This window comes from Homo sapiens, chromosome 3, assembly GCF_000001405.40.
Source record: "Homo sapiens chromosome 3, GRCh38.p14 Primary Assembly".
Lineage (NCBI taxonomy): Eukaryota > Metazoa > Chordata > Mammalia > Primates > Hominidae > Homo > Homo sapiens.
This window is the reverse complement of record NC_000003.12, coordinates 109,684,099-109,708,577: the sequence shown is the minus strand read 5'-3', so window position 1 is coordinate 109,708,577 and position 24,479 is coordinate 109,684,099. Positions and strand designations below refer to the sequence as shown.

Here is a 24,479-nt window from a genome sequence, read left to right as displayed (position 1 = left end):
GTATCTCAGAAATCGCCACTAAATAACTTTTTCATGTAACCAAACACTACTTGTTCCTTAAAAACTGTTGAAATGACAATAAAATATAAAAATAATAAAATAAAATAAATAAATCAAGAAATGAAATAGCTGTATTAAAACTTACTTCAATAAAAATAATGGTGGGATTGACAATTTTTTGTTCCTACCTCCCCTTGCCATACTGGGGTTGGGCATGTGATCAAAGCTAATCATATAATTTCTTTCAGAAATTTGATTGTAAAAATATGCAAAATATGAAATGGCTAATTAAAAATGGTGATTAATTTCATGTCAGTATTAGAAAGTGACTATTTAAGGGTTTCTGCTGTTGAAATTCCTAGACTTGTCTTTCTTGAGGTTTTGCTACTCAGCTTTTCTTCAATTCTGTGAACCATTTACTGTACTTCTAGTAAGTACCTTACCTTTCAACTTCTTTAATTACCTAGAGTTAGTTTCTCTTACTTTTAATAACATAACATGAGATTCCTGGATCAGAGACAGAATATTTTATTACTGATGGCACACCAAGCTTCATGAATATCAATTTATGTCAGTTCACCTTGCCTTCCAAGTCCCACAGGGACAACATGAAGATACCTGAGTAGATGCTGCAGATGGAATCAAATTTTCCCCCTAACTCAGTGATTTACAATGGAATGAAATAAGTTGCTCACTGGTCATCTAGGGCACGGGAAGAAAAGATAGGGATCAACACTTGGTTAGGCAGGGCAGATTGCCAGGGCAAGATAAACTGTCTGAATTCTCTTGAATGTGGACCCATTCCTTAAAGAATGACTTGCTGCTTGGAGGAGGCGTTGTTCTTGCCCTTAGCCCAAACTTTACTTTATTAAGCCTTGTTGAGGGCAGAGGCAAGAAAAGATAAGAACTTTTCATAGCAGGTTTTTAATGAAGAGAAAAAACTTGTCATCTGGGTTTGATGAGACTATTCTACCTTTTACTGTGTACACTATTTTAGTAATATATGTATATTTTTAAAATGTAAAATACTTGAATAGGCTTATATCATATATCATAATAGCAGTATTATTGGCAATCTGCTTTTCAGGCTGATGAATAGAATTTATTCATTATTTTCATTATTCTGGTGTCATTTTAGTCCTTAGTAATTTTTTAAAATTATGTTTTTCTTTTTCATTGTAAAAAAGTATACAAAATAAAAACTTGAAAGGACAAAGTAATTAGGTAGGATGAAACTGCATACAAAAAAACATAATTTCAGAGTAATGTAGTTGACTATGTTTAAGATAAAGGCATTTAACTCTATTTAAGAGAATGCAATTGATTATATTGCATTATTCTGCAATAATATATATCAATACATATTCAATATATCACATTTTGAAACTTATTAACTATGATATATTTAGATATATTTCTGTATTAAAAATATTTAACAAAATATAAGCATACAATTTAAACTAAATTTACAGCTTCATCCTTAAAAGTTCGGTGAATGTTCTTTTTTAATACAGTGCCCAGGAAAATACTTCAGCAGTCTGAGAAAGTCAAATTTGTGTGTGTGTGTGTGTGTGTGTGTGTGTGTGTGTGAGAGAGAGAGTGTGTATGCAGCATTCTACATAAAATAAATAATTATAAAAGACAAAGTACATTAGCAACACATGCAAAGTAATCAAGTCCTTGGTTGATAGACATAGTCAGCTCATAGACTATAATCTTCAAAAATATATACTGGGAATATCCTTACATATCAAATAGGATATTCAATCAAGTTTCATTAAAATTTACTATTACAAAATTTTGTGCTGGCTTTTTCCCTCATATTCATTAATCAATCAAACAATAAACCAATTAGGTTGTCTAGTTTCATTTGTTTATAAGTAGAATCTATTCTAGGCACAGAGATACAGATGTAAAGAGATATAGATAGGTCTTCTCATGAAGCTGATTTTCTAGAGGGAGATGTAACCAGTAATAAAGCATACAAGCATTTACTATCATTTATGAAAGTGTGAGTTTAATAAAGAAAAAACAAACAGTAAAAAAATGGAACATAAAAGAGGTATGCACTTTTTTAGGTAGCATGTCAGGGAGTCTTTCTGAGAAAGTAATATTGAGCAGATACCTGCAGGAAGAGGGGGAGAAAGCCAAGTGAAGTACTTGGGGAAAAGACTTTAAATAAGCCAGCATGGCTGGAATAGAGCCAATAGAAAGGAGAGGGTGATCATGGAATACTACACAGCCATAAAAAAGAACAAGATCATGTCCTTTTCAGGGACACGGATGGAGCTAGAAGCCATTATCCTCAGCAAACTAACACAGGAACAGAAAACCAAACATTGCATGTTCTAACTTATAAGTGGGAGCTGAACAATGAACACATGGACCCAGGGAGAGGAACATCACACACTGTGGCCTGTCAGGGGGACAGGGGGAGGGAGAGCATAAGGATAAATAGCTAATGCATGTGGGGCTCAATACCTAGGTGATGGGTTGATAGGTGCAGCAAGCCACCATGGCACACGTTTACCTATGTAACAAACCTGCATGTCCTGCATATGTATCCTAGAACTTTAAATTAAATTAAATATAAAAAAGAAAAAAAAAGAAAAGAAAAGAGAGAGTGATGGGAGATGAATTCATAGCTATTGGCAGTCACATCCTGGGAAGTGCTGTTGATTATGGTATAGATTTTGGAATTTATTCTGATTAAGATGAAAAACCATTAGAGAATTTTGAGCAAGAGAATAATGCTATTTTACATTTTGAAATTGTCAATCTGGTAGCACAATTGAGAACAGAATGCCAAAAGTTAAGCATAAATACAGGGGCTTGAGTCAGGAAGCTAACAAAGTAATCCACACAAGAAATGTAAAAGGGCTTGAGCAGACTTGGAATTGGTGAATAGTGGCAAGTGATAAAACTCATAGGGCTTGTTTGTGATCTGGATGCGAGTATAAATGAAAGAGAGGCAATAAAAGATGATACTTGGGTTCTTGTCTTGAGCAACTGAGTAAATGGCATGACCACTTACCCAGATGAGAAAAACTTGGGGAATAGCAGTTGATACAGTTTGGCTGTGTGTCCCCACCCAGATCCCATGTCAAATTGTAATTCCCATGTTGGAGGATGGGCCTCATGGGAGGTGACTGAATCATGGGGCAGACTTTCCCCTTGCTGCTCTTGTGATAGAGTGCTTATGAGATCTGGTTGTTTGAAAGTGTGTAGCACTTCCCCCTTTGCTCTTTCTCCTGCTGGCCATGTGAAGATCATGCCTGCTTCCCCTTCCCCTTCTGCCATGATCGTAAGTTTCCTGAGGCCTCCCCAGCCATGTCTCCTGTACAGCCTGTGGAACTCTGAGTCAATTAAACCTCTTTTCTTTATAAATTACTCAGTCTCAGATAGTTCTTTATAGCAGTGAGAGAACAGACTAATACAGCATTTAAGGGAGATAATAAAAATTCTTGATCTGGATAGGTTACCAGTGTCATATGAGTATTAGATTTCCAAGTGGAGAAAGTGTGAATAGAGAAAAGGGTACCATTAGGAGGTATACCTAATGCTAAATGATGAGTTAATGGGTGCAGCACACCAGCATGGCACATGTATACATATGTAACCAACCTGCACATTGTGCACATGTACCCTAAAACTTAAAGTATAAAAAAAAAAAAAAAGAAGTGAACCTGGAGGCACTGCAACATTTAAAGGTGATACATAGCAAAAAAGACTAAGAAGGAGCGACAAGTATAATAGGAGGAAAAAGAAGACACATATTGTCCTAGCCAATACATCCAGTTTGGGGTTGGTAAATTAAAGCTCACATGTCAAATCCTGTCTGCTGTTTTGTATGGCTGTTGAGCCATACAACAGCCATACAAGAATGTGTTTTACATCTTGAAATATTTGAAAGAAGAATGTGTTTACATTTTTACACACTGAAAGAAGACTAATATTTATTGACACATGTAATTTATATGAAATTCAAAACAGTGTCTATGAGCAAAGTTGTAGTGGAAGATAGCCATACTTACTCATTTGCATATTGTTGATAGCTGCTTTTGTGCTACAATAACTGAGTTAAGCAGTTGCAACAAAAGCTATTTGATCCATAAAGCCTAAAATATTTATCTGACTTTATACAGAAAAAATTTACCAACCTGTTAATCACTAAGAGAAGAATATGTTTCAAGAAGGAAGTGGTAATCAAATGTATCAAATTCTGCTAGAAGGTAAAGCTAGAGGAGGAGAGAGTTGACCCTGGAATTGGCAAGAGAGAGATATCTGATGGCCACGTCAAGAGAGGGTTCTGTGGATTGGTGAGGAAAAAGGCCTAACTGGAGTGGATTGAGGACAGAATGGAAATATAGGAAGTGAAGATGCAAAATTTTTAATAAAATACTTCTTCAAGAACTTTTGCTATAAAGGTTAATATAATCTGGTAGCAACTAGAAAGAACATGGATTCAGAATAATATATCACTGTATATTACTCTACATATTACTATATATACTCTTTTAATTTAAGTTTTACAACAATCCTGCAAGTCAGGTCCATTATAGAGAGAAGAAAGTGTGTCTTGAAAAATTATGTAACTAAAACTTGTGAGAAATGGAATGATTGTCAAAGTTTATGGTGATAATTATTACAGATGTCTAAACAAAATATTGGCTGAAGCATAAAACAAAACATGTAGAAAATGTTGTGGATGCAATTACATTTCAGATCTTCCATATGCTATTAAGTATTTACTTCCATATGAAACTATCTTGGGGAAGATTTTTATTGACCTGGCAAATTCCTTCTAATTATTTTTATGTGAATATATATATTCATAATATGAATATATTATATTCATATTATGAATATATTATATTCATATATTCATCAAGTATATAAGCACATACTTGATATATGGAAATATATATTTTCACTATTACCATTGTAAACTAAACATGGTAAAATGGATCCAGTTAAATGAAGAGTAACTATCAAGGAAAGAAACAACCACTAGTTTTTGTTTAATGTAGAGCTTTCTCCACAATAGTAAAATTGTTTCACTTAATTTACTTATAAATCACAGGCAATGTAGGACAAAATGGATTTATGCATATGATCTCTTACTCCTGAGGATCAATGGAAAGAAAAGGAACATAACCATTAAGATAATAAACACATTCTGTGACCTCACATGTATAAAAGTTCTGGCCAAGAGCTGCAAAGCCTTTAATAATAACTCCCATAGAAGACTCCTATGTAACAAATATCAGGATCCTTGGAATTTCAATGAGCCTACTAAAGAGTGAGGTCATGAACTTGAACCTCTGTGATGTATAGAGATATCTAGACTTTAAGTAAAGCCTTTGGGGAAGAGTATTATAGGATTGAACCTGTCAGGAGAGATCAAGCACCGTCTAATGAACCAAAAAAGCTCTACTAAAGCCGACACAGATTAACTATCTAGGAACAATACACCCTGTCACAATTACTTGAGGCAAAAATTGTTAGCAGAAGTAGATAATGTAAAGAAGTTAAGTGTAAACTGAAACTGGCTTACACCAACTAAAACTTTGTCATTATTGCTAAATATTTACTGAGTAGCTTTTGAGTAAGGCATTGAGGTTGTAAACAGTTAAGTTACACTGTCCCTTTCCTGGATGATGGGACACTCCAGTTAGGCTTCTAACGTCATGACATGTATCAGCAAGAAGAATCAAGGTCCATACTAAACCTCAAAAGAAAGCAATGCCATATCTTTACAGGGATAAACTGAATGCAGATTCTGGTATTTATATTCTATTTTCCTCAGGGTGGTATCCTTCCCTCTTCTCTGGAAAGACTACCACCTTCTGAGGACTCAACCTTCTCTGTACACAAGATTTAAGATGGGCTGATACTCAGTGAACTCTGCCCTTTCTTATCACCCTCTAAACCATGGGAGATGAAATTTGACCCAGGCTTCATCACAAGTTAAAGTATTCTTTTTCTGGTTACAGTGACTGAGCCAGTTATTAATACAATCTTTTTTTGAGCCAGTTGCAGTCTTTCCCTGGGGTTTCATATTTTGAGTATAATAGAAGATGATGTAATCTTGAGGTTACTTTCAAGTATGGTCTGTTACATGCCATTCTCATTCCCCTCCCACAACCACAACCACCGTCTACTCACATTGTTCTCTGACCTGAACCTGGCAGTCCTAGACTTCCCCAAGTTCCAGGCCATGCACCTGCTCCCAGTTGAATGATGAGAAGTATGTTGGGGGCAAATGGCCAAAGCCTGGAGTAGCAAGAACTCTTATCAAAACTTAAATCTTCTTATAATTAACACTTGAGTTAGTATATTTAAAAAAAAAAAACTCTTACTGTTGAAGACATTGCTAATGAGGCTTCCTTAAGACCAACTGATGTGTTCCCAAAAGTTGAACATAGAACTAGCAATGTGAAAGTAAAGCTGTTAAAGAAAGAAAATAAACAAAAGAGAAACAGTTGTTTATGAACTTTATCCTAGGCTAGTGGGCTGAACATCAGACTTCTGTACTAACCCTAGCCTGCAAACATCAAATATTGTTCCGTGAGGTGATGAAAACAGATTTGCCTTTTTTTGATATATGGATAATGAATTTGCCTTGTCAGATCTTGTCCCCTTTCTTCTTCAGACTGTTGCTATATTAACCTGTTTCTTAGATGTTTTGCTCTTATCTTTCAAAGAGAATTTGTCCTCCAATTGTTTGCAAAACAGACTATGAGCTCTGCTGGAAACCTTTTGTTAATACATGGTTGTTAGTGCTGTAACAAATCTAATGAAAGTCAGAAAGAATAATTTCAGGCTTCACCCAAGGCAAAATCTGGAGTTTAAAGAACATATTTCCAAGAATCAGGTGGTCTAAGAAAAAGAAAATTTTCTAAGAAAAAATCAAGATACTGTCTATTATACTTCAGTTGAGAGAGGTAAAGCAGCTGTTAGGAAGTGCATGTTCAGTGTTTATCATAATACCAGGACATTTTAGTACAGCAAATAAAATTGAGATGCTCATAGCCAGTGCAAGTTTGAGAGACAAGTGGGGTTCCGCCATGGATGTAGATGACTTCACATTTCCACATGCTTCATGAAGGAGGGATCCATTTGCCTTACGTCTTCAGAAAGCAGAACTTTCAAGGCCAAAGGAAAAAAAAGCCAAAGTTTTATATTCTAATAATATTTAACGAAAAAAACCTAACCTTGTATGTAACAGAGATGATGAGTATTTATTAGATTTATTATGTGCTTTTAGCATGATTATTTCTTCTCTTGAATTTAGAAGGAAATCAAATAGTTCTGTGGTTGAATCCACATAAATTAGCTTGCAAGCTCTAGAGGCACAAGACAATTTTGCACTTGTACATTTCATTTCTAACAATGTATACATTGTTATGTATACATACATTCATAGTCTATTTATTTTAACTATATTACTGATAAAAAATTTTCCTCTTGTTTGTGACATTAGTACAAATGAGGTCTTATCCTTAAGGACAAAAAAAACGTTTCTTTGATTCATCATGTTTTCACCTATTTTATTCCCTATATTATTTCTTTTTGTCATTTTGTTTGTTAAATGCTTCCTTTGCTTCTATTTGTATCTCTTACATGTCTATCCACTTCACTTCTAATAATGCCCTGTACCACTTTCTTGTTTAGCTATTCTGTAGCATCATGGAAGCATTAAGCTAGGATATCAGAAATCATTCTAAGCCAGAATTTACCTCTAATTAATTATGTGTGTATTTCCTTCCTGAATCTACTACCTGAAAAATGATTAGATTGAATGTAATATCCAGTCGAATGTAAAATTATATTGAATGTAAAATCTAGTTGAATGTAAAATTCTGTATATATGTGTGGTTTTCTTGAGGAAAAGAGTCATCATTTATCAGTTTTTTAGAGGATGTTTTTAAACCATAGCTAGTAGCTGATCAACATTCTCTCCTCTCTCGTCTACTAAAATAACTGAGGCAATAAGTAGAGCCATTTTTTCCAATATAGGCCTTAAAAGTATTCAGATAGTTCCAGAAAATAGAAAATTCTCCAGAAATTCAATAGATTTTAGAAAAATCCAGTTGACAAAGAAATTCAATAGACATCAGCAATTAAACTTATTAAAACTATATTAATAAATTAAGTTGGGTATTGATAAGTATACTATTAATGACCTTAAATAAAGAATACAGTACATAAAAATATCTTCTAAAAATAAGGAATACAGCACCTTGAAGTGATGGAGTACTAAACAATAATGCTTTTTATCCAATTACTGATTACTTTATTATTACTAATGTTTGTTTGGAGAAATATAATGTTTGGACATGGCATTTATGTTACACACTTCAGAATTTAAACTACATGTTATAGTATAATAAAGATAAAATATATAACATGAATATTTAATAATGTATAAATATCAGAGCTTATTTTAAGCTTATTTCAAATGCAGAGAGCTGGAAAGATAGTTAACAATTTTTCAGTCCCAAAATTGGTATAGACAGAAACTCAGAGAAGTAAGCAGAAATGAACACATTTTAGTCTCAAGATAATTTTCCCAACCTAATGAACTTAAGTTTAACTTTTCTCAGCCTTGTCTATTATAAGAAATAAAGTTCAAAACCCAAGGTAGACAGTTTAGTAGTGGAATCCTTTGCTGGAAAGCCAGATACCCAAAGTGCCGTACCCTCAGTGTAAAATGAAGTAAAAGTAAACATGCCTACCACTTCCAACCCCATAGAACTATACAACTACCAGGAATTTTGCCTTGGTAAAGAGCAAAGCAGAAGAACAAAAAATATGCCTTGGAGGCTATTGTCATAAATCAGCTGTTGCTCATATGTATAGCCTAAATCTACAATATGAGATAATCCAAAAAACTCCAAGTCATGCCTTCAATTTAAAATAGTCCAACTATATAATTAAAGTAAGCACAATTATTTTTTGGAAAGAATAGGCCTGGTCCATGACCTCAGAAATGGTCCACAAATAAGCCTCCCTCCCTAATTAACACATCCCAGTCAATAATTATTGAGGATATACAATAGTTAATTTTATATGTCAACTTGACTGGGACACAAGGTGCTTAGATATTTAGTCAAATATTATTCTGGGTATGTCTATGAGGGCATTTTTGGATGAGATTAACATTTGAATTGGTAGACTGAGAAAAGCAGATTATCCTCACTAATATGGGTGGACCTCATCCAATTAATGGAAAAACTGAATAGAATAAAAAGGCTGACCATCCCCCAAGTAAGAGAATTCTCCTGCCTGACTGCCTTTCAATTAGGGCATTGACTTATTTCTGGATCTTGAGCCTGCTGGCCTTTAGATACACTACACCACCAGCACTCCCTCCATTTGGTGTCCAGCCTGCCAACTCACCCCTCAAATCTTGGGACTAGTCAGCCTCCATAATCACATGAACCGATTTCTTATAATAAATCTCTTTATGTACATGCACTGTACATGTACTTCAATTTTTTGCCTCAAAATAAACTCATACTAATTTGTTACAGCATGTCTGAACAGGATGTACTTTGAGACACTAAGAAACATAAGACATCAGTTTGAAAATAGCCCTTATTAGAGCAACATGAATTCTACTAAAATTAAAGCAAGAACAAATGTCAAATTTATGATAAATCTTGGGTGAAAGCACAGTGAAATCATTGATGCTCTACGAAAAGTTTGGACGATTCACCAAAGAAATCAGCAGTTTACAAATGGATAACTCATTTTAAGAAGAGATGAGAGCATGCTGAAGATGAAGCCCACAGCAGCAGACCATCCACACCAATTTGCAAGGAAAAAATTAATCTTGTTTGTGTCCTAATTGAAGAGGACAGATGATTAATAGCAGAAACAAAAGCCAACACCATAGACATCTCAATTGTTTCAGCTTATACAATTCTGACTGAAAAATAAAAACTGAGCAAACTTTCCACTTGACATTTGCTACAACTGTTGGACCCAGATCAGCTGCAGACAAGAGCAGAGCTTTCAATAGAAATTTTAAACACGTGGGATCCAGATCCTGAAGCATTTCTTTTAAGAATTGTAACAAAAGATTAAAACATGGCTTTACAAGTATGATCCTGAAGACAAAGCACAATCAAAGCAATGGCCACCAAGAGGTGGAAGTGGTCCAGTCAAAGCAGAAGTGAATAGGTCAAGAGCAAAGGTCATGGAAACAGTATTTTGGGATGCTCATGCATTTTGTTTGTAGACTTTCTGGAGGGCAAAAGAATTATAACATCTGCTTATTACAAACATGTTTTGAGAAAGTTAGCCACAGCTTTAGCAGAAAAACACCAAGGGAGAATTTACCAGAGAGTCCTTCTCCACCATGAAAATGTTCCTTCTTATTCGTCTCATCAAATAAGGGCAATTTTGTAAGAGTTTCTATAGAGAATCATGAGGCATCTACCTTACAATCCTGAACTGGCTCCTTCCGACTCCTTTTTGTTTGTTAATCTTAAAAAAAATTTTAAAGCTCACCCACTTTTCTTCAGTTAATAAAGTAAAAGAGACTGCATTGACACGGTTAAATTCCCAGGACTCTCATTTCTGTAAGGATGAACTAAATAGCTGGTATCATCACTTACAAGTGTCTTAAACTGGATGGAGCCTATGTTGAGAAATAAAAGAAAATTTTAATAATAAAATACATGTTATTAAAGATGCTTGAGTTTGCAGGTTGACTTACAGAAAATACATATTTTATGGTAAAGTATGACTTCTTCCCCTAGTGTCATAGCCAAATGAAAATGATGTCACCTAACCACTGTGGAGGTCTACATGGTTAAACAGAACTGTGCTAATGGACTATTGTCAGGAGGATGTTTATTGGTGTTTCACAGAGTCTGCGATGATGCTGCATAGATGGAAATTCTATTTTCAACCCTGACTCTAAACAGGAAGTAATAGTTTTTCCTAGACAGGTTTAAGTTTCCCATGGCCACATTACACTGAATACCAACCCCCGCAAAGACAAAGCATATACAGCCTGCTTACATTAGACAAATACAGACACTACATTAATTGTTTGTTTTTGTCAAGATGGCAGATTAGAGGCTTTCCACATACCTCAGCCACTTGGAAATAGCAAGATGGTACACAGAGATCAACTCTGTGAGCTTTAATTCAAGAAGGAAAATGGGAATTCATCAAAATTGTGAAGGACACCACAGATCCTGGATGCTGGCAAACAGCCCCCATTACAGTGTGCATCTGATAAAAGTGAGTGAAGCCCCAGTATGTGATAACCAGTATTTTGTAGGCATATTTCATGAAAATAAAGTTCCAGTAAGCTCTATCTGGCAAATCCCAAAGAAAAAACTATTAAGATGTTATAGAGATCAGTAAATGGTTCATACAAAAGGCAATAGCTGTTCTTTATACCAGCAAAAACCACTAGAGGGTGAAGGAAAAAACAACAGCACATTGACAATAGCAACAAAACCCATAAGATACCCAGGATTAACTAAACATGAAATATGCCAGTTCTATATTTAAGAAAAGAGAGAGGATTTATAAAACTTATTTTTCAAGGAAAGGTAATTTGAAATTATCTCTGTGGAATGGAAGAAAAAATATTGCAAAGGCATTAATCTTCCCCTAAATTATTTTATAAATTTAATTAAATCCAGTGAAATATAAAGCTTACTTTTGTCACAAGCTAGTTCTAGGGTGTATCTATATCACTTAAAGTGAAATAACAAACCTCTTTCACTCTTCATTCTATATTCAATACTTGATATTATTGATAGCACATAATAGGTCCTTGACTGATAAGTATATATTAATTGAATAAATGAGTACAATTCAAGTAATAAATATAACATAATAAGTATATAACAAGAGCCAATATGTTTTTGAAAATAAAAAACAGTCTACCATATATCAGACTATTTTATAAAGTTATATCCACTGCTCGCCATGACTAACATGTTCCAGATTAATCCTCCTATTGCAAACAACTATAAAACAGGAAGAAATAAATGTGGCAATTGTTTCCAGACAATAGACAAAAGATGATGAAATACTTCAATCTCCAAAGGAAGGTCAAATCACAAGGTGAGTTTTACTTGTGCACCAGAGAGAATTCTTCCTGATCTTGGCATAGAAAGGGAAAACTCAAGTAGACTGTGGCAGTCTTTTCAGAGAAATCTGATAAAGACTTTACAGAACAATTACACACCAAAATCTTTTATTAACCTAGACTTTTGAATCCTCAAATCCAGAAATATATAAAATGAGTGGTATTTTCTGACCAACTAGGATGTATCTCAGGAATGCAAGGTTAGTTCAACAGTCAAAAATCAATGTAGGTTTTTGGGTTTTTGTTTGTTTTTGTCAAGATGGCAGATTAGAGGCTTTCCACATACCTCAGCCACTTGGAAATAGCAAGATGGTACATAGAGATCAACTCTGTGAGCTTTAATTCAAGAAGGAAAATGGGAATTCATCAAAATTGTGAAGGACACCACAGATCCTGGATGCTGGCAAACAGCCCCCATTACAGTGTGCATCTGATAAAAGTGAGTGAAGCCCCAGTATGTGAGAGAGGCAGAGTCTCCCTCATGACTCACCTTTACAGTGGGGATCCAAGCAACCCAAGCCAAAAGAGAGCACTTTGTTTCTCCCAAGCCCTGGAGCTAACTTGGGAAGAGGCTTGGAGATGCTGTGAGGGAAAGAAACTGGGAAAAGCTGCAGACATTTTTGCAGACCCAGTACTTATAGCGTAATGCCATTTTTAATCCAAGTGCATGCAAAGTCAGCCATTCCATGGCTACCCAGCAGCACGGCCATGCAAGCATTTTAGTCTCAGGCCAGAGGTTGGAGTACCTGCTCTTGAGTGGGGTAAGGGCCTCCACAACCAGAACTGTAGAAAGTGCCTCAGAAGTAGGTGCTAGAGTTGTGCTCTCCCAGTTGCAAGCCTGGGGTGGGAGGAGAGCTGCTACAGCTGCAGTTTCTCCTAGACAGCAAGACTTGCAGCCAGAGCCAGCTTGATGAACTGGAACTCATTTGAGTTCTAGTTCGGTGGGTGAAATGGACTGCAACTCAGATCAGTTTGGTGTCCCACCGCCACACCCTGCTCCCCTGAGATTATGATGTAATGAGGCCCTCTCTGCTCCATACTTACGTAGATCTCCAGGCATTTGGAGCACCCATTCTCCTGGATTAGGAGTTGAGGGCACCCCTGAATCCCTGTGAGCTTGGAGCTGAGGAGGTTTCCCAGCTCCATGTCTAGTCACTCTCTGGGCACTTGGTGGCTGCCTACTGGATTCTCCCTAAGTGCTGGTGCCTGTGCCTGCCATCGGGGGACCTATGGGTGGACCTTTGTGGTCCCTGCCCCTCTGGAGCTGAGCAGGGAGCTCAGACTACCGTGCATTCCATGAGTCAACTCATTGCCTATGACAACAGAGACCTTCTGCCAGTAAATAAGAATCAAGTATTTAGCCACATTGGCTGCAGCTGGCTCCTACCTATAAGTTCCATCTATGGGCCTGTAGGTCAAACTGCACAGCTGTTGTGCAGAATATAAGACCTGCTGACAGAAGTGCCTAAGACTATAGAAGCAAGGCAAAAGGACCCTACCCAGAATTCTCTACTGTCACACCCCCCTAAGGAGGGGGAAAAGGGAAAGGAAAATGAAAAGTAATTATAATAATAACATTATAGGGAAAGAAAACAAAAGATAAAATCTTACCCACACAAAAATAATTACAAAAATTAAAAATGCCAGCATTTCCAGATGAGAAGGATTCAGTGCAAGAATTTTAGCACCATAAAAAAAAAAAAAAAAACTGAGTGTAGTGAAATCACCAGACAATTATACTAGCTCTCCAGCAATTATCCCTAATCAAAATGGAAGCAAAAATGACAGATTGAAAGCATGGATTGCAAAGAAGCTCAATGAAATCCAAGAAAAGGTTAAAAACCAACATAAAGAAACTTCTAAGGAAATCCAGGAAATGAAGGAAGAGATAAACATATTAAAGAGAAATCAATCAGAGATTCTGGAAATAAAAAACTCACTTGTGGAATTTCCAAATACAATTGAAAACCTTATCAATAGACTGGACTAAGCAAAAGAAAGAATTTCAGAGCTAGAAGACCAACCATTTGAACTAACCCAGTCAGACAAAAGAAAAAAAAACTCAAAATATGAACAAATCTTTGAGAAATATGAGCTTATGTAAAGAAACCAAACCTATAAATTACTGGCATTCCTAAGAGGAGAAAAAGTCAACAACCTGGAAAATATACTTGGGGGAATAATTCAAGAAAACTTCCCTAATCTTGCTAGAGAGGCAGACATCCAGAAACAAGAAATCCAGAAAACACCTATGAGATACTATGCAAAATAAACATCAAGGCATATAGTCACCAAACTGTCCAAGGTCAATGCTAAAGGAAAAATCTTAAAGGCAGCTGGAGAAAAAGGGTAGATCATGTATAAAGGGAAGCCCATCAGGCTAACAGCACACTTCTTCAGCAGAAACCTTACAAGCCAGGAGAGATCAGGGCCTATTTTTTTAGCAAAAAAATAAATGAAATAAACAGAAAAGAAATTCCAACCAAGAATTTCATAGCTTGCCAAACTAAACTTTATGAACAAAGGAGAAATAAAATATTATCCAGACAAGCAAGCACTAAAGGAATTTCTTACCACTAGGCCAACCTTATAAGATATCCTTAAGGAAGTTCTAAACATGGAAACAAAAAAGCATACCTGTTTCAAAAACACCCTTAAGTAAATAGCCCATAGATCCTACTAAAGCAACCACACATCTGACACTGGAAAGCAAACAGTTAACAACTTCACAATAGAATCAAAACCTCACATATCAGTATTAACTTTGAATGTAAATGGTTTAAATGCCTCGGTTAAAAGGCACATAGTCCCAACTTGGATAAAAAGAGACTCATCCACCTGTTGTTTTCAAGAGCATCTCACATGTAACAACACCCATAGGCTCAAAGTAGAGAACTGAAGAAAGATCTGCCATGCAAATGGAAAATGAAAAAGAGCAGAGGTCTCCATTCTTATATCAGATAAAACAGACACTAAACCAACAACAATAAAAAGGACAAAGAAGGGCATTACAAAATGATAAAGGGTTAAATACAACAAGAAGACTTAACTATTCTAAATATATATGCATCCATGTATATTTTGGAGCATTCAAATATAAATTGGAGCATCCAGATTCATAAAACAAGTACTTTTATTTTGGGGTGATCAGACCTAACACTAGGCCATGGGGGCTATGAAGTCTGGCAGAGTCAAAGGAATGAGAAAAAACAGGTTAAGAGTACATAAGGTGGGTCTTTGCAAAAAAGAAGAGGGGGACATATTGGTAGAAGAGCTGCGGCAAGACAGTCTTCCACCTTTTGGCACAAAGCTTAGTGTTCCAAAGGCCACGAAATGTTTTAGACCTTAGACCCCAGGCATCTTCCAAGACTCTTTTATATTATGACAGACAAGCCAGTCCTGCCTCAGCTCTTCTACCAACACTTTTAGACCTAAAAAAGGACTTAGACGCAATAATAGTGGGGGACTTTAACACCCCGCTGACAACATTAGACATAGCATTGAGGCAGAAAACTAACAAAGTAATTCTGTATGCAAAGTCAACACTTGACTAATTGAACGTAATAGACATCTACAGAATACTCCACCCATCAACCACAGAATATACATCTTCTCATCTGCACATGGAACATATTCCAAGATTAGCCACATGATAAGCCATAAAATAAGTCTCAATAAATGCAAGAAAATCAAATTCATAACAACCTATTATTGGACCACACTAGAATACAAATAGAAATCAATACCAAGAAGATCTCACAAAACCACACAATTATATGGAAATTAAATACTTGTTAATGAGTGACTTTTTGGTAAACAATGAAATCAGGGCAGAAATTTAAAAAATTCTTGAAATAAATGAAATCAGAGACACAATATACCAAAATCTCTGGGATGCAGCAAAAACAGTGTTAAGAGGAAAGTTCATAGCACTAAATGCCTACCTCAAAGTTGGGAAGATCTCAAATTAACAATCTAACATCACATCTAGAAGAAATACAAAAACAAGAACAAAGTAACACCAAAGTCAGAAGAGGAAAAGAAATAACTAAAATGTGAGTGGAACTGAACAAAACTGAGACCCAATAAGCCACAAAGAATCAACAAAAGCAAAAGCTGGTTGTTTGACAAAATAAAAATAGTTGATAGACCACTAGCTAGATTAACAATAAAAAAAAGAGAAGATCCAAATAAGCACAATAAGAAATGACAAAGGTAACATTAAAATCAATCCCACAGAAATACAAAAAATCTCCAGAGACTATTATAAACACCTCTACACCCACAAACTAGAAAATCTAGAGGAAATCAATAAATTCTTGGAAACACACAATCTCCCAAGATCGAATCACAAAGAAATCAAAACATTAAACAGACCAATATCGAGTTCCAAAATTGAAACAGTAATAAAAAACCTACCAGCCAAAGAAAGCCCTGGACCAGATGGATTCACAACCAAATTCTACTAAATGTACAAAGAAGAGCCAGTACCAATTCTACTAAACTATTCAAAAAAAAATTGAGGAGGAGGGACTTCCTTATTCATTCTATAAAGCCAGCTTCACCCTGATACCAAAACCTAGCAGACACAATGAAGAAAGAAAACTGCAGGCCAATATTTGTGATGAACATAGATGCAAAAATCCTCAGCAAAATACTAGCAAACCGAATTCAACGGCACATCAAAAAGTGAATTCACCATGATCGAGTAGGCTTCATTTCTGGGATGCTGATAAGGCTGATAAGGTTGATTTAACATACACAAATTTATGAATGAGATTCACCACGTAAGTAGAATTAAAAACAAAAACCATATGATCATCACAATAGATGCAGGAAAAGCTTTCAATAAAATCCAACATCCCTTCATGAAAAAACCCTCAAAAAATTAGGCATCAAAAGAACATGCTTCAAAATAAGAAGAACTATCTATGACAAACCCACAGCCAACATCACATTGAATGGGCAATATGTAAGCATTCCCCTTGAGAAATGAAACAAGAAAAGGATGTCCACTCTCACCACTCCTATTCAACATAGTACTGGAAGTGCTAGCCAGAGAGATCAGGCAAAAGAAAGAAAGAAAAGGCATCCCAATAGGAAAAGAAGTCAACCTATCTCTCTTTATAGACAATATGATTCTACGCATAGAAAACATTGAAGACTCTGCCAAAAGGCTTCTGGAAATAATAAATAACTTCAGTAAAGTTTCCGAATACAAAATCAATGCACAAAAATCAGTAGCATTTCTATACACCAACAATGTTCATGCTGAGAGCCAAATCAAGAACATAATCTCATTTCCAATAGGCCCCCACAAATGCACTCACACACACACACACACGAAAAAACAAAAACAAAAATCTAGGAATGCATCTAACCAAGGAGGTGAAAGATCTCTACAAGGAGAACTACAAAACACTGCTAAAAGAAATTATAAATAACACAAACAAATGGAAAAACATTCCATGCTTACGGATTGGAGGAATCAATATTGTTAAAATGGCCATACAGCCCAAAGCAATGTACAGATTCAATGTTATTCCTATCAAACTACCAACATCATTTTTCACAAAACTGGAAAAACTATTCTAAAATTTATATGGAACCAAAAAGGAACCTGAATAGTAAAAACAATTGTAAACAAAAAGAACAAAGCCAGAGGCATCACGTTATCTGACTTTAAACTATACTATAAGAGTACAGTAACCAAAACAGCATGGTACTGGTACATAAATAGACACATAGACCAGTGGAAGAGAATAGAGAACCCAAAAATAAAGCTGCACACCTGCAGCCATCTGATCTTCAACAAAGTCAACAAAAATAGCAGGGGGGAAAGAATTCCCTATTAAATGGTGCTGGGATAGCTGGCTAGCCATATGCAAAAGAATGGAACTGGACCCCTACTTTCACCATATACAAAAAAATAGCTAAAGATGGATTAAAGATTTAAATGTAAGATCTCAAACTACAAGAATCCTACAAGAAAACCTGGAAAATATCATTCTGGACATCAGCCTTGAGAAAGGATTTATGACTAAGTCTACAAAAGCAATTTCAACGAAAACAAAAATTTCCAATGGGACCCAATTAAACTAAAGCACTTCTGCACAGCAAAAGAAACTATCAACAGAGTAAACAGACAACCTATAAAATGGGACAAAATATTCACAAACTATACATCCAACAAAGGTCTAACATTCGAAACCTATACAGAACTTAATTCAACAAAAAATAATAAATAAATAACTCCATTAAGAAATGCACAAGGCTGAGCATGGTGGCTCATGCCTATAATCCCAGCACTTTGGAAGGGTGAGGCGGGCAGATCACCTGAGGTCAGGAGTTCAAGACCAGCCTGACCAACATGGAGAAACCCTGTCTCCACTAAAAATACAAAATTAGCTGGGTGTGGTGGCGGGCACCTGTAATCCCAGCTACTTGGGAGGCCGAGGCAGGAGAATCACTTGAACCTGGGAGGCAGAGGTTGCGGTGAGCCAAGATCACGCCATTGCACTCCAGCCTGGGAAACAAGAGCAAAACTCTGTCTCAAAAAAAAAAAAGAAAAAAAAGAAAAAAAGAACTGTGCAAAAGACATGAACAGATACTTCTCAAAAGACAACATACAAGCAGCCAACAAACATATCAAAAACTTATTCACATCACTAATCATCAGAGAAATGCAACTCGAAACCACAAAGAGATACCATATCACACTAGTCATACTGTCTAAATCAAAAAGTCAAAAAACAACAGATGTTGATGAGGCTGTGGAGAAAGGGGATTGTTTAGACACTGTTGGTGGGAATGTAAGTTAGTTCAATCACTGTAAAAAGTTTGAAGGTTTCTCAAAGAACTTAAAAGAGAACTACCGGCCGGGTGCGGTGGCTCACGCCTGTAATCCCAGCACTTTGGGAGGCCGAGGCGGGCGGATCACGAGGTCAGGAGATCGAGACCATCCCGGCTAAAACGGTGAAACCCCGTCTCTACTAAAAATACAAAAAATTAGCCGGGCGTAGTGGCGGGCGCCTGTAGTCCCAGCTACTTGGGAGGCTGAGGCAGGAGAATGGCGTGAACCCGGGAGGCGGAGCTTGCAGTGAGCCGAGATCCCGCCACTGCACTCCAGCCTGGGCGACAGAGCGAGACTCCGCCTCAAAAAAAAAAAAAAAAAAAAAGAGAACTACCATTTGACCCAGTAAACCCCATCCTCGGTATATATCCAAAAGAAAACAAATCATTCTACCAAAAAGACATATGCAACTGTATGTTCATTGCACCACTATACAGAATAGCAAAGACATGAAACCAACATAGGTGCCCATCAATGGTGGATTGGGTTAAAAAAAATGTGGCATGTATATACCATAAAATACTACACAGCCATAAAATAATGAAAGCATGTCCTTTGCAGCAACATGGATGCAGCTGGAGGCCATTATCTTAAGTGAATTAATGAAAGAATAGAAAACCAAACACCATATGTTCTCACTTATAAATGGGAGCTAAACATTAGATACTCACAGACATAAAGATGGCATCAATAGACACTGAGGACTACTAGAGAGGGAAGGAAGGAAAGGAGCAAGCAAGGGCTGAAAAACTGTTGGGTATTATGCTCAGTACCTGGGTGATGGGATCATTTGTATCTCAGCATCACACAATATACCCAGTTAACAAACCTGCACATGTACCCCCTGAATCTAAAATAAAAGTTGAAAAAAAAAAACGTAAACTATTATATTTAAAGAATATTCAGTGAAACCAGAGTTATTAAATTAATAGTAGTAATAAAGGCCTTGTTGTAAGAAATGAACATTCCATCATCAAGCTGAACAATGGGGGATACTTTAAAGAAACTCCAATAGAAGTAGTTCTCACGATTTGGAGATTGTAATAGTTTCTTATAGAACAGAAACTGGAAACTGACATCAAGACCAACTAATTATACGTAAATATATTTTTAAAATATATAATTTTAATATACAGCATGAATTTAAGCCATCTTCACAAATCCTTTTATCTTATTCATAATGCCCAAATTGAAGGGCCTGACTACTGCTTTATAGGTATACAAAGGTCTAGTAGATCTTATTTGGCTATTAGTTCCCAGTTATTAGATAAGCAAAGAATGGCCAGTTGTTTTCCTTACAGAATTAAGCTTTAATAAGCTTTATTTCCATATGGCATGTTACAGTTTCATAGATCAAAATACCTGCAGTTTCTAAGAAACAAGTTTAAGCTTTAGCATTTATTTCCAGATAAATAGCAGTGTTCTTCAATAAACCAGGTACTAGAAAAAGTTATAGTGCCTCAGTTATATATTCTGCTTTTACTATAAGTGCTTCCAAACTATTTCAGTACTTACTTTCCCCAACTCCTGTGAGAGTAAGAAGTCCGGATCACCAATGCTTAGGTGATTTTCTAGGTTACAAATCTTGTGGAAAGTGGAAAGAGCCTTACTGTGTCACAGACTTGAACAAATAACCCCAGAATGAGTACTACTTAAGAAAGAAGAGAATATCTATTTCAGCCTCTGAACTACTTTTCATTTGCTTCAGCTTTGATTTAAGGCATTTAGTCTAAGGCTGATAATGTTTTCATTCTGGCTAACATGCCATTCCTGAGCCTTGCTTTCCAATGCATTCCTTGTTGTTATTAGCCTCTGCTTTACATGGATGGGAGATTGACTACAATAGGCTCCCACATCATCTAGCTTGTGGCTTAGCTAGTTAGAGGCACTGCAGAAGGTGGGAAGCTAGAGGGAGGAGAAACCAGAATATTTCTCCATGCTCTTTCTGCTCAACCTTGATTATTGAGATTACTATTATTATGCATTAGCTATGTGAAATATATTCACATCACTTACAATTAAATAATCTTTACTGGCAAAATACAAAGATCACTAAATTTATTTATTATTTTTATTTTATTTTTTTTATTTATTTATTTATTTATTTATTTATTTATTTATTTTTGAGACAGAGTCTCACTCTTGTTGCCCAGGCTGGAGTGCGATGGCATGATCTCGACTCACCACAACCTCTGCCTCCCAGTTTCAAGTGATTCTCCTGCCTCAGCCTCCCAGGTAGCTGGGATTACAGGCATGCACTATCACGCCCAGCTAATTTTGTATTTTTAGTAGAGATGGGGTTTCTCCATGTTGGTCAGGCTGGTCTCGAACTCCCAACCTCAGGTGATCTGCCCACCTCGGCCTCCCAAAGTGCTGGCCTCCCAAAGGCGTGAGCCACCGCGCCCAGCCAGAAATCACTAGATTTATTTTTAAATGAAAACAAACTACAAATTGCTATGAAATAATTTAAAATTGCTGTCATCTGAAGTCATTGGGCTTAATCTTTTTATTCCTGGTTTAATTATGAAAAATGACTCATTATCATTTACCATACTGGGTTAGAATTACCTTGTACCTCTATAAGGACACTGGTTTTTTAACCATTTCCCAGAGAACATCTGTACAGTTCTCAAAATATTATTGTAACAACATTAAGAGCATAATTAATAGAAGACCTCTCACTTGTTTGCAAAGCCAAGCAGACAAGTAAGAACAGTAAGAGCAATAAGTTATACAGAAGGCTTGGCACCTTTTTGCAGTTGACTAGTAAGTGAGTCCCTTCCCTACTTTATTTGTAGTTTATAACAAGCCTTGAGAGATTTTTAAAATATTGATTATCTAAATACATAAACTAACTACGTTAATAAAGAAAATATCTGGTAGAAGATATGTTGAAAATAGTTATCAATGTTGCTTAAGGTTTCTATTTGAAATGTCAATTTTTAAGAAAAGGAAGATAAAAAATAAAAGTGTGATGCTAAAAAATTAACAACTGCATAGCAGTGCACAATACACAAAGTAAATTTCAGATCCAAATAGATTATTATCATCCCATGCTCATAAATTACAATTGTGCATAGCATAGGCTAAGCGAGCTCAAAGTTACAATAAATCATGGATCTGGGAGTTGCTACCTGTTCCTTTATCCCAGAATGATGGTGTACATAATAACGGTTATATCGATAATAATCATTTAAATCTATTGGTTTAGAAAACTGCAAAGTCCAGGAGTATATTTGGCTTTAAGCATAGCTTCAGTCATGGCATGAAGCTCAAGTGATGTCATCAGTGTCTGTTTCTCTCCATCACTTGGAGGTACTGATCAAATGATGGCCAGGAGTCCACCATCCATTGGTGTCACTGTGCCCACTGGATCCCAGAATACAACGTGAATTATTCTTTCTGGAATTGGACAAACGATACTCTTGATAGTCTAAGTACAGCTGTAGGGCTGGAAGAACCTTGTACTGAAGGATGCCACATAGCTCACAATTCCCCTGGGCTTATTTATGAAAGAGGAATAATTATAAACATCATGTCTAAGTAAGCATTACTGAAAGCTAAAATCTTCTCTGATTTCACCAAATGATCTGTACAAGAATGTTCATAGCAGCTTTACTAACTGTATCTCTGTATTAGTCCATTCTCACACTGCTATAAAGGACTTCCCTAAGACTAGGTAATCTATAAAGAAAAGAGGTTTAATTGACTCACAGTTCTGCACATCTGGAGAGCCTCAGGAAACTTACAATTATGGCAGAAGTGTAACAGTCTTTCGTTGTCTTAGATAATGCCCAGAGGAGCACAGACACAAAGGTGAGGTTGGAACAAAAGTTTACAGCTGAAAGAAGAAAGCTCTCTTCCAGAAGAGGGGGTCCCAAATAGGAAGACCCACTATGAGTCTGGGGTCCAGGGTTTTTATGGTCTGGGAAGGGGAAGGAATGAGCTTAATCAGTGAGCTGTCTTAGTGAATGTATGACTCAGCTTGGCCTGGTACCAACCAGGAGCTGAAATGATGATTCATAGAGGCTGCTCAGCTTGGCCCAGGACCTGTTAGAAGCTGAAGTGAAAGCCTGGCCCGGGACCAATCAGAGGCTGAAGTGATGAGTCACAGGAGCTGGACTTATAGTCCTAATAAAGGAAAGTAGAGTGCCCACTGGAACCCCCCAGAGTCCACCATGCCCATGCCCACAAAAGGAGAAGAAACTTTTCCTGGGAGCCCACTGACTATACACAGGACAAAGGCATTTCTATGCCAGGCCTTGTTCCCTTGTCTGAGTGAGCTGGAGGTTTGTGCAAGTTTTCAGCCAAATGGGCCGGAGGTTTTTTCTATCTGTGCAGCTGTGGGCATGTCTCCAGGCACAACACCCTGTGCTAGTTCCCTTATCGGTGCCTGCAGCTTGAATTTTTTCCCAGGCTGCTTTTTATGTTATGTGGGGATGAGGAACTGACCCATGGGCCGGGGGCTCTCCAGGACCCTTTCCTTGTTATCTACCTAAGGCAAGCTAACTAACTCCTTTCAGTGGGAGAAGCAGGCACATCTTACATGGTGGCAGGCAAGAGAGGGGGATGAAGGAAGAACTTCCAAACACTTATAAAACCATCAGATCTTATGAGAACTCATTCACTAGTATGAGAACAGCATGGGCGAAACTGCCCCCATGATCCAATCACCTCCCTCCCTCAACACATGGGGATTACAGGTCCCTCCTGTGACACTTGGGAACTACAATTTGAGATGAGATTTGGGTGGGGACACAGAGCCAAATCATATCACTCTCCCAACTAGAAACAACTGAAATACTCGTCAGTAGGAGAATGGATACATAAACTGTGAAAATTCATACAATGGAATACAGATGGTTCCTGACTTAACAATGGTTTGGCTGACTTATGATTTTTGAACTTTAAGGTGGTATGGAAACCATACTTTAAGTACCCATACAACCATTCTGCTTTTCACTTTCAGTACAGTGTCCAATAAATTACATGAGATAGTCAACACTTTATTATCAAGTAGTGTTAGATTTTTGAGCCCAAGTATAGGCTAATGTAAGTTCTCTGAACACGTCTAAGGAAGTGAGCCTAAGCTATGATGTTCAGTAGGTTACGTATATTAAATGCATTTTGACTAACTATATTGTCAACTTACAACAGGTTTATCAGGACATACCCCATCATAAGTCAAGGAGCATCTATACTACATCAGAGGAAAAAAAGAACAAATGGATACTACCTGCAATCATATGGCTCAAACTTTCAGACTTTATGTTAAGTAAATGAAGCCAGGTTAAAAAGAGTACATACTCTATAATTCCATTTATATGAAGTTCAAAAACAGGCAAAACTAATTGATTATAACAAAATCTAGAGTCTTAGTTTCCTTGAAGTCACTGGGTTTTGACTGAGGAGGGGCATGAAGGAAATTTCTGGCTGTTGGAAATGTTACATCTCAATCTAAGTGGTAGTTATTTGGATATGAGTGTAAAAGTTCCTTGAGCT

General features: G+C 36.6%; 1 long non-coding RNA gene and 1 pseudogene across 1 annotated transcript in view; one reads left to right on the top strand and one right to left on the bottom strand.

The window, feature by feature from the left end:
• LOC124906267 (uncharacterized) overlaps positions 1 to 24,479 on the bottom strand; it is a 188,134-nt gene that overhangs the window by 127,580 nt on the left and 36,075 nt on the right. The window lies entirely within an intron of this gene.
• DIMT1P1 (DIM1 dimethyladenosine transferase 1 homolog pseudogene 1) lies at positions 6,283 to 7,088 on the top strand (annotated as a pseudogene).